The sequence below is a fragment of the Homo sapiens genome, chromosome 9 (assembly GCF_000001405.40).
Source record: "Homo sapiens chromosome 9, GRCh38.p14 Primary Assembly".
Taxonomy (NCBI): Eukaryota; Metazoa; Chordata; class Mammalia; order Primates; family Hominidae; genus Homo; species Homo sapiens.
The window spans coordinates 90,461,159-90,480,123 of NC_000009.12; the positions used below are offsets into that span (position 1 = coordinate 90,461,159).

Genomic DNA, 18,965 nt, shown 5'->3' on the forward strand with positions numbered 1-18,965 from the left:
TGTCAATCACATAAAAAATATTCCAAAGGAGCATGTGGTTGAGGGTTAAATAGCAATATAACCAACAGGTGCCTTGAAAAGGAGACTTGACTATGTGAAGCTGCTCTCAGAAGAAAATGTATAAATTAATAAAAGCATGAATCATTTATCCTGGAAAAGTTAAGTTACCTTGTTTTTGTTGGAACACTTTGTTGTATTGCTTTTGAAATGAAATTTATGTATCCTTTGCAAATAAAGAACTTAAATATACAATATTTTGCATGAATGTCAAGTCAAGACAATCCTAAGCAAAAAGGACAAAGCTGGAAGTGTCACGCTACCTGACTTCAAACTATACTACAAGGCTACAGTAACCAAAATAGCATGGTACTGGTACCACAACAGATGTATAGACCAATGGAGCAGAGTAGAGGTGTCAGAAATAATGCCACACATCTACAACCATCTGATCTTTGACAAACCTGACAAAAACAAGCAATGGGGAAAGGATTCCCTATTTAATAAATGGTGTTGGGAAAACTGGCTAGCCATATGCAGAAAACTGAAACTGGACCCCTTCCTTACTTCTTATACAAAAGTTAACTCAAGATCGATTAAAGTCTTAAATTTAAGACCTAAAACCATAAAAACCCTAGAGGAAAACCTAGGCAATACCATTCAGGACATAGGCGTGGGAAAAGACTTCGTGTCTAAAACACCAAAAGCAATGGCAACAAAAGTCAAAATTGACAAATGGAATCTAACTAAACTAAAGAGCTTCTGCACAGCAAAAGAAACTAGCATCAGAGTGAACAGGCAACCTACAGAATGGGAGAATATTTTTGCAATCTATCCATCTGACAAAGGGCTAATATCCAGAATCCACAAGGAGCTTAAACAAATTTACAAGAAAAAGCAAACAACCCCACCACAAAGTGGGCAAAGGGTATGAACAGACACTTCTCAAAAGAAGACATTTATGCAGCCAACAAACATATGAAAAAAAGCTCATCATCACTGGTCATTAGAAAAACACAAATCAAAACCACAATGAGCTACCATCTCATGCCAGTTAGAATGGCGATCATTAAAAAGTCAGGAAACGACAGATGCTGGAGAGGATGTGGAGAAATAGGAATGCTTTTACACTGTTGGTGGGAGTGTAAATTAGTTCAATCATTGTAGAAGACAGGGTGGCAATTCCTCAAGGATCTAGAACCAGAAATAACATTTGATCCAGCCATCCCATTACTGAGTATATACCCAAAGGATTATAAATCATTCTACTATAAAGACACATGCATACTTTATGTTTATTGCAGCACTGTTCACAATAGCAAAGACTTTGAACCAGCCCAAATGCCCATCAATGATAGACTCGATAAAGAAAATGTAGCACATATACACAATGGAATACTGTGCAGCCATAAAAAAGGATGAGTTCATGTCTTTGCAGGGACATGGACAAAGCTGGAAACAATAATTCTCAGCAAACTAACACAGGTACAAACACTGCATGTTCTCACTCATAAGTGGGAGTTCAACAATGCAAACACATGGACACAGACAGGGAGGGGAACATCACACACTGGGGCCTGTCAGGGAGTGGGGGCTAGGGGAGGGATAGCATTAGGAGAAATACCTAATGTAGATGATGGGTTGGTGGGTGCAGCAAACCACCATGGCACGTATATACCAATGCAACAAAACTGCACGTTCCGCACATGTATCCCAGAACGTAAAGCATAATACAAATATATATTTTCTGAGTTAAAAGCAAAAAAATAGCTATTTACTAGAACTGTACAATAGGGTATGATTCTATATTTAGACACATACACCCTATGAATATTTTAACCAAGAATTTATACAAGTGCATATACATTGGTATTACTGTAGGAAAGTATGAAAAATCCTCTTGAAAATGATCTAACAAAAAGGTTCTATTTCAGAATATTGTGGTTACAAACAATTTTCACTTTTTACATTTTTATTTGTTTTTCAAAGGTGTGAATTTCTTCTGCAGTTAGACACAGATTATGACTAAAAAACAAGTGGCTTTTATGTAGATTCATAGTCAATATCATAGTCATTTATTTTAAAAAGCTGCCCAGGGCTTGTTAAGTTGCTGTCAAGATGAAGCACTAGGGGATCAGCATGTTCAGGTGAAAAGGTGCTGCTCAGGGAAGAGGTGAGAGGAGGCTGCAGGTGCTGTGTGCTGACTTACCTGAGCTAGCACAGATGCAGCACACGGCTCACACACTACCTCTTATGGCATTATCACTACCCAATCTGCCATTAGCGCATCCAATTAATGGCAATAGATTAAATTGTATAGCTCCCTCCACCACCACAATCTGCAACCAAAACCATCCGGGGGACATCCTAAGCTCTCAAAAGGATCTTTATGGGGAAGAGATTTGTTGAGGGCCAAGAGCTGAGCTCCATGCCTTTGAGGATGAGAATTCTGGGGTCCTGGGTGCCTTTTAAAGTGATCTGGGAGAGGTAGGCTCTGGGAGCGTATGTCCTGTTGGCATCACCAACTCCCAGCGCTGTAAGGAGTCGCAGAACCAGAAGAAGGCCAGAGGAGAGACCTTGAAAGTGTGGGATCCCAAGCAGATATCTCAGGTATCCAAGTCCATCGGTGCTCTGGTAAGCCAGCTCTCTGCAATAAATAAAAATAAAAAGCACTCATTTGAAGAATTTGCCAGTTTTCATGATGTAATTTCTCCCACTATGGCCAACTTCAAGCTACTAATGTTTTTTTTTCTTTGTTTGTTTGTTTGTTTTTGATGGAGTCTTTCTCTGTCACCAGGCTAGAGTGCAGTGGCGCCATCTCTGCTCACTGCAACCTCCGCCTCCTGGGTTCAAGCGATTCTCCTGCCTCAGCCTCCTGAGTAGCTGGGATTACAGGCGTGGGCCATTGCACTTGACTAAGTTTTGTATTTTTAGTAGAGAGGGATTTTTTATTTATTTTTACTTATTCATTTATTTGATACGGAGTCTCGCCCTGTCACCCAGGCTGGAGTGCCGTGGCGCCATCTCCTCTCACTGCAACCTCCGCCTACCGGGTTCAAGCGATTCCCCTACCTCAGCCTCCCGAGTAGCTGGGACTACAGGTGCGTGCCACAATGCCTGGCTAATTTTTTGTATCTTAGTAGAGATGGGGGCTTCACCATGTTGGCCAGGATGGTCTCGATCTGTTGACCTTGTGCTCCGCCTCCCTCTGCATCCCAAAGTGCTGGGATTACAGGTCTGAGCGACCGTGCGTGGCCTAGCTACTAGTGGTTTTATGAGAAGAAGGTGAAACTCCTTTAACATTAGCTTTAGCCAGCTGCTACAACCTGACAGCAGCACACACTGCCGAGCCCAGCACTGGCACAGACACTCTCACTTTGTTTACAGTCTGGCAACTCCTATACAAACTGAAAAAATTGCAAATTGAAAAAATGACTAGGATCCCCATTAACCAGAGGCTAACAGGATTCAGATAAACATAAAATTCCTAACACTTTGCAACAAGTAATAGTTCACCTCTGTTTTCCACCCTCAAAATAATCAGCATTCATGTCTGTTTTGCAAATGGGTCTTGAGAAAGATCCCCTTCTTATACATGCATTATTCCAATCTTTGAATTCTAAATTCATCCTAAAATAAGTGGGATTGGTGACCAAAATGACATCCAATTCCAGTTCACTATCTGCCTGCAAACGTGTTGTTTTCATCAAAGCACAAAGTCACCAGAGTCTATTGTAAAATGGCATTGATATTATCTAATTCACAAGACTGTTGTAAAAATTCAGAAAGGTGATGCATGAATACAATTTGTAAAATATGAAGTACTCTTCAAATATTATTTAGAAATAATATTATTACATCGTTTGCAGATGCAATCAATGGCTCAGGGATTTCTGTCTAACGAAGTCTTGGGGCAGTAGCAGCATATTGGGTGTGTGAAAGAGGAGAATTCTTCTCTTGACATCATATTTGCATAGCAGCTGCACTGTTTCCTCTTCATGATTTATTTGGAATGACTGGTGAGGTCTGATGGAGACTGGTGGAGCTAAAATTCCCTAAGGCATTCTGTTGTACCATGCTGTGTTCAGAGTCCTTCATTAAGAAAAAGCAAACCAAATAAGAATAACAAAACAAACAAAACAGCAAACCCTTCTTATATAACAAATTATGCCTAAAAACCAAATACATATGTGTGTGTGGGGGGGGTATACACATGAGCAAATAAACAAAAGCATATACATATACAAATATACATTTGCATATATATACATATATATATACACACACACACACACACACATCAAGGAGATGTCCTCTTAAAACAAATATGTTAGGGCAGAATCATAAATTATGTTCATTTTGAACACCAAAATCTCAGGAATCATTAATAATTAATAATCTATTCTGTAAAAATATCAAAAAGAATGAGAATGACTAGACTGAACCTATATTTTTAAATGAGAACTTGTAAATGCATTTTACTAAAATGATAAAAGCAGCATTAACATGTATAAATCAAATCATATATAATCTCTTTTGTTTTCCTGGGATTAATATTGTCTGCCTAAGGACTGAGCATAAAAATGAAGCACTTGAGCTAAATATGATCAGAAGAGATTTCCATCCCTATGCTACTCACATCCTCTGTGTTGAATGCCAAGAAGTGCCATGTTCATGTCCATGCAACCCTACAGTGTGCAGGAGACTTCATGATATCAATGCTCCCATGCCTATTCTAAGGTAGTCTTGGTAACTCTACCTGTGATTCCTTAAGGGCCATACTTATTTAAATATAGTCCTCAAAGTATTATTCCTTCCAAATTGCATGTAAAAATAGTTCTTAAAGTCTTATTCTTTCCATAGAGTTTCTTGTTCCTGGTTCACTACTGCATAAGTCCATTCAATCAGGACCACAGGAAATCTGACTTCCCAGTGTGCCCTGAAACACACTGCTCATGCTTATTTCCAGCCAGCATTAGCTCAGTTCTGTTTATTTCCCCTCAACAGCTTTCTAGACTATTCACTATCAGATATTTGCTCCATGTGGCTTAAGGATTTGTTCTGTGGTTGGAGAATCTCTCCTTTTGGCTTTCCTTCCTTCTGCTTTCCTGCACACCTAAATTTAAAAAAGGGAGAGAAGGAGCATGGAGAGATTGGATCTACTTCCAAGTAAGTGATCTGAAAGGACTTCCTCCTGGTACAGAGGTTATATAACATAATGCTTCCTATATATGATTTGCAAGTATCCTTCCCAATCTCAGAAATGTATTGCTTATGCTTTCCCATGGTTCTCTGTGGGAGTCTCCAAACACCCTTCAGAGGACAGAAGACATTAAATCTTTAGCAGACATTTATAATTTAGCCCAATTAGCCTATCAGTTCTTCCCTTGTAACGGAGCATACTAAGCTAGCTGAGAAGAGGCTGAGCCAAAAATTCAGTCGCCAAGTTGAAAGCCACTTTTGCCATAATGCACACATGCCTTCCTAAAGTCACTAAGTGAAAGCTGCAGGGCAGATGGGAAAATGGGGTTATTGGCACAACACTCCATGACTGCCAGTGACACATAAAAAGACAGAAAGCTAATAACAATAGTAACACAGTTTTTCCATGCTATACAGTTAAGATGTACAAAAGCGTTATAGTACCCATGGCATCTCACCTTGAAAAAGACCTAACTAAGCCTTGCTTGTGGCTATGCTGCTCTTATGTCTTGTGTGCCAGAGGAAGAAAACAAAAGAGAGAGCAAGAAAGAACAGAGGATGGATAGAACTAGGACAGGAGGAAAGAGGGAAAATTAGAGTGGGCAGAGGGTGTGGACTACAGCCTGGAGCCACTGAGCAGTAATGAAGGGCTACTGGTGGCCCCGAGCTGCAAGGCCGGAGGTGCACAGTGCTCAGGGAGCCAGGGTGTGTTGGAAATGCAGGCAGGAACCTTAGATTCCTGTTCAGTGCCAGTCAGCTGGTGTTTGTTTCTGGCATCCGTCTTGTAAATCATAGTAAAAGCAAATTCAAAGCCCACTTACACCCAGTTGTATACCTCATAGTTACCTAAATGTTACCTAACATACCTAAGCATGTGTACCTCATAGTCATGTTTTGGTTAATGACAGACCATATATATGACAGTGGTCCCATAAGATTATAATACTGTATTTTTACTGTATCTATCTTTAGATATATTTAGATGCACAAATATTCCCATTGTGTTACAGTTGCCTGCAGTGTTTAGCACAGCAACATGCTTTGCAGGTTTGTAGCCTAGAAGCAAGAGGCTACATCATGTAGCCTACTTGTGTAGGAGGCTACATCATGTAGCCTACTTGTGTAGGAGGCTACATCATGTAGCCTACTTGTGTAGGAGGCTACACCATCTAGGTTTGTGTAAGTGCATTCTGCAGTGGTCACACAATGATGAAATCACCTAACGACACATGTCTCAGAACGTGTCTGCATCGTCAAGCGATGCATGACTGTACATCAGTCCCACTGGCACAAATTTGAGCTTTCATGGCAAGCGCAGGTGACTTGGCAAACACTCTTTCCTTTGACCAGAACTTGAGTCAACCTTGTGAGTTCTTTCCAAGAGACTTGACCTTGGGCTTCCCTCTCTGTCTTGTTGAATCCAGTTTGATCAGGAATCCTGCGAAGTCAGTTCAATAAAGACACCTCACCCTTAGTATCTCACTACACTGTTTGTACCTGATCACCCTGGCCTGCCTTCAGCAAGAATCCCATTGAGTCGGTGGGATTCTTACTTCTTACTTCTTACTCTTGGTGTTTTTCTACATCACTTCCCACCCCTTGACCCCACCCTGCTGCTTGGCTAAAAGCCCCCTTGTCTTTGTTGAAGTTGGAGTTGAGTCCAATCTCTCCTCCACTGCACAACCCTGTTGCTGTGTTCCCCATCGCTGTGGCCTGCTTGGATCAAGTCTGTCTTACCATCTCCAACAAGGGTTGGGAATAATTGTTTTCAAGGGACCGTATTTGAGAGATGAGCCCAGGAAGGTCTGAGAGGTGGGCAGAGTAGGAAGCCCAGACTTGCGGGGGGCAGTTAATGAGAAAGTTACATTTTAGGGCTGTGGGGGCTGTGGAGCACCTGTAAGACTGATCCCAGCCAGGAGCTAGCAAGATACAGTTCCTGCCCTGCACTATTGGAGGGCATTTCCAGCTTGCTGTGGATGGGTTGGAGGGGGATCAGTCAGCAAAACAAAGCTCTCACTAGGAGCCCCAGGTGCTGAGAACTGAATGCCCAGAAGACAAGGGCAGAGCACTTGAAGCCTATTTTGGTCCCCAAAGGAGATCTGTGACCAATAAGGACACACTCCTCCCCCAGTATGCAGTTTTGGGCTCATCTTGAGTTCCAACAACTGGACTTCTTCCCAGCCCACACCTGCTGAGTATATTCAGCAACTAATCCTCCCAGGGCCTGTGCCTAGTCCCTCCCCAAGGCCCACCCCATCACCCTTCCCCAAGCAGTGTGATTACCTTGCCCTGATTGACAATGTGCAGTTACACTTTAATGTGGCGTTTGCTTAAATTTTATGCACATTTAGTTTAAATGTGAGCAGCTTCAGCAATAATTTGAAAGAATTGTGTTCCACTAAAATGGAGAGCCTGCTGGGGTTTCTTGCAAAAATTTGCATTAAATAATCAAAAGTACTTTAGAGCTCTGCCAGCTGCTTCAATATTAAAAGTTCAGAGGAATAATGGTAGGTTTAAAGACGAAAACACCTAGTTTATATGAGATGGAACTTTTCTTACAAAAATTACAAGAGTAGATTTTGAAAGGAAGTGAGGGACTTTTTGACAAACTTCCTTAGTGGCTTTTTTTTTTTTTTTTTTTTTGACAAAGTCTTGCTCTGTCTACCAGGCTGGAGTGCAGTGGCGCCATTTCAGCTCACTGAAACCTCTGCCTCCCGGGTTCAAGTGATTCTCATGCCTCAGCCTTCTGAGTAACTGGGATTACAGGCACCTGCCACCACACTCGGCTAATATTTGTATTTTTAGTGGAGATGGGATTTTACCATGTTGGCCAGGCTGGTCTCGAACTCCTGACCTCAAATGATTTACTCACCTCGGCCTCCGTAAGTGCCGTAATCACAGGTGTAAGCCAACACATCCAGCCTTCCCTGGCATTTTTAATTGCCTAAACCCTACCTCCCGCTGCCTCCACCATCTTGAAACAAACCGCACATTCATTTTTGTCCACAAGTATATCCCGTATTAATAGAATCAAAGGCTGAGAGCTTTAGCATTATTTACACATAAGAGATATGCTTAGAACAGTACTCAAAAAAATGTCATTTGAGGGAATTCAGGGCTACTATTTACCATTTGTATAAAATTTTAAATCAACCACCAAAGGGTAAAGCAATTACATGAATTGAAGTCCAACTCAGTTGCGACCCTATGCTTCAGAACTCCCCTGGGTCTCCCAGGCCGTTCTTAATGAGGCAAAGGGACGTGGTGAGCAGCAGAAATGTCGGTCAGCGGCAGCTTCTCAATTCCGGTGGTATCTCGGGAAACGCTGAGTTAGCTGAACATTAACATGTACATCAAGTCTGGGAGGTTCAAAATCAGTTTGCTCTGCAATTCAATTTTATAGAATCATTAATGGTGAAGGGCAAAAAAACCCTTCATCTTACATTTTAAAAAATTTATCAAGATTTGGGGATATTTTAATAATAGCTCAATATTACAGGGAAAGGACTAAAGAAATGTAACAGTGCCTTTAAAACAAGCTTTCCCCCAAGAAAAAATATAAAGGCAAAATGTGGCCTGGGGCATCCCTGGTTGTTTATGCTCAGCCATCTGAAATTTATCAAGGCTAAGGGGCAGCAGCAGAACCTTGGAGGCTCCTTTCTGCAGAGGGTTGGGTTTCAGGCAGCCCTGTACAGAACGGCTCATACCGTGCCCTGGGCCTCTACTCCCAGATCCTTTTAAAGATCCTCCATGGCTTCATTTGCCTTCACAGCTTCAGACTCTGGTTTCTAGATACAATGCATTTTTTTTTTTTTTCCTGAAGCGTGTTTGAATAATGCAGATTTGAGTACTGAGAGTGCCTGTGCTGAGAGAACCCTCTGGTAAGCTGCTGGGACAGACTGAAGTGGGGCTCTGCGGAAGACCAGGTATAAACAGGGAATGTAGCAAAGAGCGATAATAAAGGAAAGGATAACATAGGAACGGATCAGGAGTGACTCCACAGAGCATCTTAAGCCATGAAAGTCTTGCCTTTTAGAATTTAAATAGTCTTCTTTCTTTTTTTTTCTTAAGCTAAAAATTTGTCAATTTTGTTGACCTTTTCAAAGAGCCAACCCTTGGTTTCACTTATTTTCTTTATTGTTTTTCTCTCCTCTGTTTTTTGTTTGTTTTTTTGTTTTGTTTTTGTTTTTTTGTTTTTGTTTTGAGATGGAGTCTCACTCTGTCACCCAGGCTGGAGTGCAGTGGCAGCGATCTTGGCTCACTGCAACCTCCACCTCCTGGTTCAAGTGATTCTCCTGCTTCAGCCTCCCGAGTAACTGGGATTACAGGTACACGCCACCACGCCCGGCTAATTTTTTTGTATTTTTAGTAGAGACGGGGTTTCGCCGTATTGGCCAGGCTGGTCTCGAACCTCAAGTGATCCACCTGCCTCGGACTCCCAAAATGCTAGGATTACAGGCGTGAGCCACCGCACCCAGCCCCTGTTAGTCCTTCTTGTTCTAATTCCTTACATTTTAAAGTTGTTGATTTAACACCTTTTTTTAAATGTAAGCATTTATGGTGATAAATTACCCCCTTAGTACTGCTTTTGCTGCATTCCGTGAGTTTTGTCATGTTGTCATTTCATTTTTATTTATCTCAAGATATTTTCTAATTTCTCTTACGATTTCTCCTTTGACTCATTTGTTGTTTAAAAGTATGCTTTTTAATTTTTACATACTTGTGGATTTTCCCATTTTTCTTCTGTTTTTGGCTTTCTAGTTTTATTCCTCTCTGACTTTTTGAAAACAACTAGTAATCCAGACAATATATTTTTTAAAAATCAGAGACTTCTGGTCCAGACAAGATGGTACAGACTGGTTTCTCCCCCTGCTCCTTGCAATGCACAACCGTAGACCCTGGAAATGGCACCAGACAAGCACGGCAGGACTCTGAAAGGGAGAAACAGGACAGCAGACTGGTTGGGGACTCCAGGACTGGCCCAACAGCATAAGCATCTTCTAAAAGAAGAAGGCCAACTCCCACGTACAGCAGAGGCCATCTGAGCAGGCTTATTCCTACACCAATGGAAGAAGACTCCATCAGACACCACTGGCAAGTGGAGTGGTTTGGGGACCCACCAGAAATACATGCCCAGTGGAGACATGTTCCTCCCAATCTGGGCCTGAAACTCCCTTTTCTGAAGAAAGATAACTGGGAAGGCAGGTGAAATCAGGAGGAGGGGCACAGCCATAGCAAGGTGCGTGACTGGGGAAGCTGCTCTGTCCCCACTGGCCTTGAGACTCTCCTCCATTGCCCAGAGACAGCAGGTCTGCCTGTGGATAATGGCAGGGGGAGTAGCACCACACTCATGTCATTCCTGGTTGTGACATACTCCTGCTTTGCAAAATGTCATCGTTTGGGAAAACCGAGCAGACAGTACAAGAAATCTCTGTTTTATTTCTTATAGCTACATATGAATTAACAATTATCTCAAAAATTTCAACCAAAAGAGTATAAAGAGTGGGAAGGGCAACCAGCCTCCAAAATCAAGGAAAGAAAGCAAAGGATGGAAATAAGCCATTACATAAAATATTCATTCTAGGCCAGGTGGGGTGGTTCACACCTATAGTCCCAGCACTTTGAGAAGCCTTAAGAAGGAGACAGAAAAGCTGTAAGTATTGGAACAAATAAAAGGGAGGATCGGTTTACTCCAGGAGTTCCAGTCCAGCATGGGCAACATAGAAACACCTCATCTTTACAAAAAAATTTAAAAATTAGCCAGACATGGTGGTGCTCACATGTAGTCCCATCTACTTGAGAGGCTGAGAAGGGAGGGTGGCTTGAGTCCAGGAGCTCAAGGCTTCAATGAGCTATGATCACATCACTGCACTCCAGCTTGGGTGACAGAGCAAGACACCGTGTCAAAAAAAAAAAAAGAAAAAAGAAAAGAAAAAAAGAAAAGAAACACATACACACACACACACACAAAGGATGTTAATTCTTGTTAAATGTCCATTAAATATTTGTCAAAACTGACTATATGATCTGCCATAAAAGTCAATAAATTTCAAAGGTCTGAAATTATACCAAGTATGATTCTGTGATCACAATGAAGCTGGAAGTCAATGATAAAAAGAAAACTGGAGAATCTCTAAATGTGGAAATATTAAGCAATGACATTGGATATAGTCTATGAGTCAAAAGAATCACAATGGCTTCATAATAATGAAGATCCAATAGATCAAACATGAAATTTTTCTAAAGCTGTGTCTAGAGAAAAATGTGTAGCTTTAAAAGTGCATATTAGAAAAGAAGAAAGGTTGGAAAATCAGTAAGGGCTGAGAAAGTAGAAAGTAATTGCAAATTAAACTCCAATAAAGTAAAAAGAATGAATTGTTGAAACAAGAGCAGAATATTACAAAATAAGAAAAAATACTTAATAGAGACGGACAAAGATGGCTCTTCAGAAGATTAAAAAATTGATAAATGACTGGCAATGTTGATTACAGCAAAGAAAGAATAAATAAATACTTCAGGGTGAAAGAGGGAACAAAGCTACAAATACAGACAGAAATGATAATCAGAGATCCTTATAAAACTTTCATGGCAATAATTTTAGACAAATTTCTAGAAAAACACAACTAACCCAAACATAAGTGACAATAAGTCAAAAGTGCTAGTAGTCCTGTAACTATTAAAGAAACCCATTATTAAAATTCTTTCCACAGAGAAAACTTCCACACCAGATGGCTTCAGCAGATAATTATTTTGAGACCCTGCCTTGAGGAAAAAAAAAAACACTTAATGAAGAAATAACATAAACCTTACACATATACTTTCAGAGTATAGCAAAAGGGGGTTCTCCACTAAATAATAAGAACAATATAATCTGATGATCAAAATATGTATGTATCATTAAAAGGAAGGAAAATGTAGACCAATCATTCTCGTGAACATAGATACAAATATTCCAAGTAAAATGGTAGCAAACAAAATAAAGAGATGCATAAAATGATACTAGATCATAACAAAGTTTTGTTTATTTCAGCAGTGCAATGTCAGTTTAATATTAGAAAATTAATCAATATAAATCACTATAGGCCAGGCGTGGTGGCTCAGCCTATAATCTCAGCACTTTGGGAGGTCGAGGAGGGTGGATCACCTGAGGTTGGGAGTTCGAGACCAGCCTGAGCAACATAGCAACATGGAGAAACCCCGTCTCTACTAAAAAAAAAAAATACCAAAGTAGCCAGGCCTGGTGGTGCAGGCCTGTAATCCTAGCTACTCGGGAGTCTGGGACAGGAGACTCATTTGAACACGGGAGGTGGAGGTTGTGGTGAGCCAAGATAGCGCCATTGCATCCAGCCTGGGCACCAAGAGGAAGACTCTGTCTCAAAAATAAATAAATAAATAAAATCACGATAGTAACAGAATAAAGGGGAAAAATCACATAATCCTAAAAATGCTGGAAAAGAATTAAAATCCAACCTGTGAAAGGAAAATAAAATCTCAGGACTCCCAACTCACTACACCGAAGGGAATGTTAAGGTTGGGGACTGAGCCACACAAAAACTGCCTTCCTTTTGTTCTCAGAAAGATAGCTGTAACTTCATATGCTTACTTTATCTTATGTGAAATGTAGAGTTACCAAGCACTGGAGGAATGCATAGTAGACTGTTCCTCTACCCCAGGGATATCCAATCTTTTGACTTTCTTGGGCCACATTGGAAGAAGAAGAAGAATTGTCTTGGGCCACACATAAAATACACTAACACTAACAATAGCTGATGAGCTAAAAACAAAAACAAAAACAAAAAAACAAAAATCACAAACAAATCTCACAAATGTTTTAGGAAAGTTTGCAGAGTTGTGTTGGGTCACATTGAAAGCTGTCCTGGGCCACACGCATCCCACAGGCTGTGGGTTGTACAAGCTTGCTCTATCCCCTCCTTCCATAAGTAAAATGTGGATTCAGTGAGTGCTAACAAAAGCCTAACAAGAATGTAACCACTTCCTCATTGCCTATACTCTTACTCTCTTTTTGCCTTTTGTCTTTTCCCACCTGCTCACTCTTTCCCCCTTTAAATACTGAAGTCCTCAAAACCCTCTTTGGAAGAATCACAAGTCACAAAACCAACCGTAACTTGTGTTTCTTTTTTCCTAAGTGTGTCCTCAACTTTGGCAAAATAAACCTCAAAACCAGTTGAGACTTGGCCTCAGTCTCTTTTTGTTTGTTTGGTTGGTTGGTTTACAAACCCTTCACTATGATTAAAACTCTCAGCTCACATGTAACAGATAGGAATGTCCTCATTCTGAGAAAGGATGACATGATTGTGCAAGGAAAACATCCAAAAGAATCCACAAATAAATTTAGCATGTTAATCATTGAAATTAACAAAGTCTCTAGATACAAATTTATTATACAAAACTAAATTGTATTGCTACATGCCAACAGGAGGAAATAAGAAAATGCTGCTTTAAAATTCTACTTGTTACAATAACAAATAAAATAAATCAAATACCTAAGCATAAAACACTCTCAAAATCACGAGAATTTTACACAAAAAAACTAAAAAAAATTATTGAGAATAATTAAGCAAGGCCTAAACCAATAGAAGAATATATAGTACTTAAGGGTTAAAAGACTCAACTCTGTAGCAATGTCAGCTCTCCCTGTACTGAGACTAAGGAATCAGTGTTGGTCCTGTGCAGATCTTCCCTGATTTGTTTTGTTTACATTTTTCGTTTTTTGCAAAAATTAGCAAGCTCATTTTAAAAACCCATACAGAAATATGAAGCCAGAAATGACCTAAATAATCTTAATAAGAAAAACAGAGTTTGAGGACTTATACGATCAGATATGAGATATTGTAAAGACTGTTAAATAGAATTCATGGGAAGCAGTTGTTTTGGACTGAACTCCTCCACTAGGCCCCAGCTGATCAGACCAAATCAGAATGGAGTCACAAGTCTAGGTACCACATGATCAAACTGAACTTTGAAATGGGCCAGTTTTCCGAGAAATGGGAGATTCACCTGTCAAAAGGGGCCCAGTTTACCTGAGCCAGCATAATCAAGAAGTCCCCCTTGTTTAACCCTACAGAGAACGTAACTTTGAAAAGACGAATCCCATCTCGTTTCCTGTTTCAGCTTTCTTCTTATTGCCAATAAAGCCAGACTTCTCTGCTCAGCTCATCAGAGCATTCATTTTGTTTGGTAAAATGAGATGTTGTCCCATTCTAGATTCACTAACAAAAGCCAGTTCAATTCTTAAACTAAATCTGTTGCATTTTGTCTTTTGACAAGGCAGTGTAGTGTGGGGACAAGGATAGATAAATAGTCCAATGGAACACAATAGAACGTTTATTAACAGGCCCAAGCATAAAAAGACACTTGATTTTGGACAGTGGTAACACCATGGGACAGGGGAAAGTATGGTTCTTTAAAAAAAAGTACCAAGTAAATTGAATATAAATAGAGAAAAAATAAAAATGGTCACTCTGTTTCACAGGATACAGAGAAATTAAGTCTTCATAGATTATAGGTCTAAATGTGAAAAACAAATTAACAACATTTCAAAAAATAACATATGGTCTTATGATAAGGCAATATTTCTCAAACAAGATAAACATAATGGAAAAGATTGATCAATTAGAATCGTTAAAATCAAGCATTATTTACCAAAATATCTCATAAAAAAGGAATGGCTTGCTGCAGAGTAGAAGAGATTTGTGATACATATTATATGTAGGTGGCAAAAGACTAATGCTCAGAATACATTTTTTAAATCATTAAGAAAAAGATAATTTAATTTTTGAGGCCAATGTCCTTTCCTGGCTCTCTCAGGCCAGGATCTGCTTGAGAGGTCTGCATTGTTCTCCCCAGAAAGCAGTTATCTAAGTGATAAACCTTTTCACATGCTCCTGGCCTAGGGTGTGATGGTGTCATCAATGTCAATATTTGAACCAAATTTTGTGTGGGAATCCTCCTGCTTCTACAGTGATCACAGCAGTTTATCCAACAAATATTAGGATTTTAAAAAGTAATGTACACAATTTGTGTGTTTTGTTCTATCTAGTCCCCAAATTTTTAGAAAAGGAATTGGAGGTGCACACTCACACATTTGTATGCACACACACATGTCTAGTGTCTGGATACCAATCAGAAACAGCATTTTTTTAAAGGACCCACAAGAAATTGGCAACTATAGTTGCCTCTGGGGAGTGAAAAAATTATTTTGTTACAGGGCAACTATCTTTAACAATGGCATTTTCCTTTTATTATATTCACTTATTATTTCTCAAGTTAAAAAAGAAAAACTAGTTAAAGAACAAACAAATAAATACAATTCAGTCCAAACTTTAAAAAAGAGGAAAGAAAGGAAAAGAGGAAGACATAATCTTTCATAATAAATAAAAGAACAAACAAAATGCGTGCAGCAGAGTCTAAAGTCCATGGTACACACTAAACTTCCACTTTTGCAGGTGCTACAAAAAGTACTCCGCTGATGCTTTAGTTACATGGACCACTCCAGATAAAAATGAAGATCCTCCTGTAACAGACAGCTAATTTTTACAACTTCTTGCCATCCTTTGGAAAATATATTTTCTAGGGTATACACTATTATTAGGACTTTTATCCTTTTGTACACTTGAGAAGTCAACTGCTGAAGAATAAAATAAGCATCATCCAGAGACGCCTTTGAGCATCACAATGCAGTGGTTCTTTCATGGAACACATTCTGAATGGAGCTTCTCTTTTTGATACTATTGTAAGTAATGGAAATACCAGCGAATCTTGCCAAGACTTTAAACATAGCGAGAGTTAGATGAATGTGGCTCACTTATTTCTGAAATAATGGGGCTACAGCATATGCTCTTCAGACCACTTCTAGCCCAAATAATCCAACATCTGAGCAATTCACCTACACTACTGTCTTTTGTATGTCTCAATATGTGCAGCATTTTAAAAAGTATTGAACTTTGAATCATTTTGAGATAATAGGGCACCTGGAGTGGAAAAAGTGGATGTCATCTCCAGCCATGTCTTGGACCTCTCTCCATTTCATTAAGTATATCTTCCTGAATTTAAGGGGAGTGTGTTGGATTGATGATTGTGTCTGTGTGACTTTGACCAAACAGAAGTGACACAGTGCAGGTTTCCAGTTTGAGGCCATAAGAGATCAGCAGCTTCCACCCCCTGTTCTGAGCCACTCACTCTGGGAAAAGCCAGCTACAGGGTAAGAAGTAGGGCCGTGGAGGCTGCCATTCCTGGGCTGCCAAGGCATGAGCATTGGAGAGGCTGCATGGAGAGACAGATGCCTGACCAGACCCCAGCTGTCCTTGTCCTCCCAGCCCAACCACCCTCTTCAGTGAAGAGTGCAGAAGCCAGTGAAAGCTGTCTCCAACATTCCAACTCCAGCAGGTGACAGATGGAGAGTACTAAAGGAACCTAGTCCTGTACCGGGCACAAGGCCACAGTCAAGCATCCCAGCCCTGTCCAGCCATTAGAGTTGCCCTATAGGAAGCTCAGGAGACTAGCCAATCCCACTGTGACCTGTGTGAATGTCCAGCCCAGAACATCATGAGGAAAAATAAAATGGTTATTTTATACAACTGAGTTTTGGGGGGATTGTTATGCAGCACTAGATAACTGGAGCCAAGAGCCGGTGGGAAAGGGTGGAGAAGATGCAGGGGGTGGGCAGATGATGCCCAGCACAGCCATCCCTCGCATTCCTGCTGAAGCTGAAGACCAAGCTGTTGCCTGCGTGGCACCCAGTCCCTAATAAAATGACCCAAGTAAGAAAAATCAACAAAGAGGAAGCAAATCGCAGCAGCAAATACATATAGAAAGGGGGAAAAAACATGCCATTGTTTAATGTAATGTAATAATGTAGAATATTCTGGCATGCCTTGCTGTCAGTCCTACCCCAGACTCTGTCTCCGGACACCTCAGGTGCACAGGTGCACATTGAGGTAGACACAAAACCCCAAGAATCCTTACCCATCCCTCAATTCTGGAAAGAAGGTAGATTTTTTTGATTGGAGTTCAGCGTAGTGGATATGATTGTTATGAAAGGGTCTGACTTTTAGGGAGTGTGCAAAGTCCAAGGATCCATTTCATGGCCCTAGGAAACCCATTGTGGTGGTTTCTGTAAACTCTGGTCCAGGACGTTTAACAACATTTCACTAGAAAGGAGAGGAGAGCCTCTCCCGCACTCCACTCTCATTCCTTCCGGCCACTCGAAAGTGTCTACAACTTGCAGTATCTGGTCTTGATGCTGAAAGATGGAGGGAAAAGAATTAAATGAGTTAGTGGTCACCAGCCAGACCCATAGCATTCACCTTGGACAGAGCTGCCCCAGCCTGAGTCTGATGAAAAAGAGCCAGCATGACTGCAAAACAGAAGCAGCACAGCCATAAAGGCAGGTGAGAGAAACAGCATAAAAATGCAAAAACGTAAAGTGGTTCCTAGGAGCTTGGTATAGAAGTGTGAAAGGAAAATATCTTGGGCCCCCAAAATCATACAGATAAAAGGAGAATTCGAGCTGGAAACTGCTCAATGCAAACCTGCCTCCCACTCTCTTCAAAGTCATCCTTCTGCTCCCTGAGATAGATGTGTATTCTGATTGCCTCCTTTGGAAAGGCTTATCAGAAACTCCAAAGAATGCAACCATTTGTCTCTCACGTACCTGTGACCTGGGAGCCCCACTCCCTGCTTCGAGTTGTCCCCGCCTTTCTTGACGGAACCAATGTAGTTCTTACATATATTGATTGATGTCTCATGTCTCCCTAAAATATATAAAACCAAGTTGTCCCCCAACTACCTTGGGTACATATTGTCAGGACTTCCTGAGGCTGTGTCACGGGTATGTATCCTCAACCTTGGCAAAATAAATTTTCTAAATTAACTGAGACCTGTCTCAAATTTTCTGGGTTTATAGAAGAAAACCTAACCTGAGGAACAGAAATGAATTCCTGATAATATTTCAATCCAGAAAACACTTTAATGAGAATGAACACATATTTTTTTAAAGGCGTGCTCAAAGGCCAAACAATTAACAAAACAGTATTTAAGGGGCAATAAAGAGCTAAGAAAACAAACTGAAACCAAAATTAAAAATTGCAAAGAGCAAACTAAACAATCCTGAAAACTGAATCAATGACATACAGAGAGGCCTATTATGATAATAGTAAAAGAAAAGGACAGAAATTTAACTAACCAGAAGAAAATGAAAAGAACTCCAAAACACCAAAATTGATCTGATGTTAGGATAATTCAAGTCTATGAAACAAAGAACAAAACTAACAGAGAAGAAAAAATTTTCAAAGACAAAAAGCAAGAAAATTTCCTTGAGTTGAATTAGAAGAACCAAATCTTTCTCTAACAGGAAGATTAATACTGTAACATAATGTAGCTAACTTATTGCAATTCAAGACTGGCAAAACAAAAATTGCTAATCATGGAACAAATCATCTAAAGAGAAAAAAAATCAGGCTGCTCTCACAACTCATTATATTAATATTTACTTAATGCTAGATGACAATGGAGAGATATCTACAGTGTTCTGAGGAAAGGGCTATGTGACCACAGTAACATGACCCCACTAGTCATCTGCAACTGGTGATGCCAAAAAGAAAAGAAACAACCAATACATCTTTGAAAAACAAAACAAAGCTTAGAAAAATCACAAGCAAAAGAAGAAATAATTATAAAAGCCTACGCATTACAAGTAGCTAACATTTGCCCAAGGCTTCTTATATGACAGGTCCTGATTTTATTAT

At 40.1% G+C, this 18,965-nt stretch overlaps 1 long non-coding RNA gene across 1 annotated transcript in view; it reads right to left on the bottom strand.

Annotated features, from left to right (window-relative positions):
* Positions 1–1,273: 1,273 nt before the first annotated feature.
* LINC01501 (long intergenic non-protein coding RNA 1501) overlaps positions 1,274–18,965 on the bottom strand; it is a 120,315-nt gene continuing 102,623 nt past the window's right edge. The window contains exon 6 of the long non-coding RNA NR_034157.1: positions 1,274–2,644. This is a non-coding gene — a long non-coding RNA (long intergenic non-protein coding RNA 1501). The remainder of the gene's footprint in view (positions 2,645–18,965) is intronic.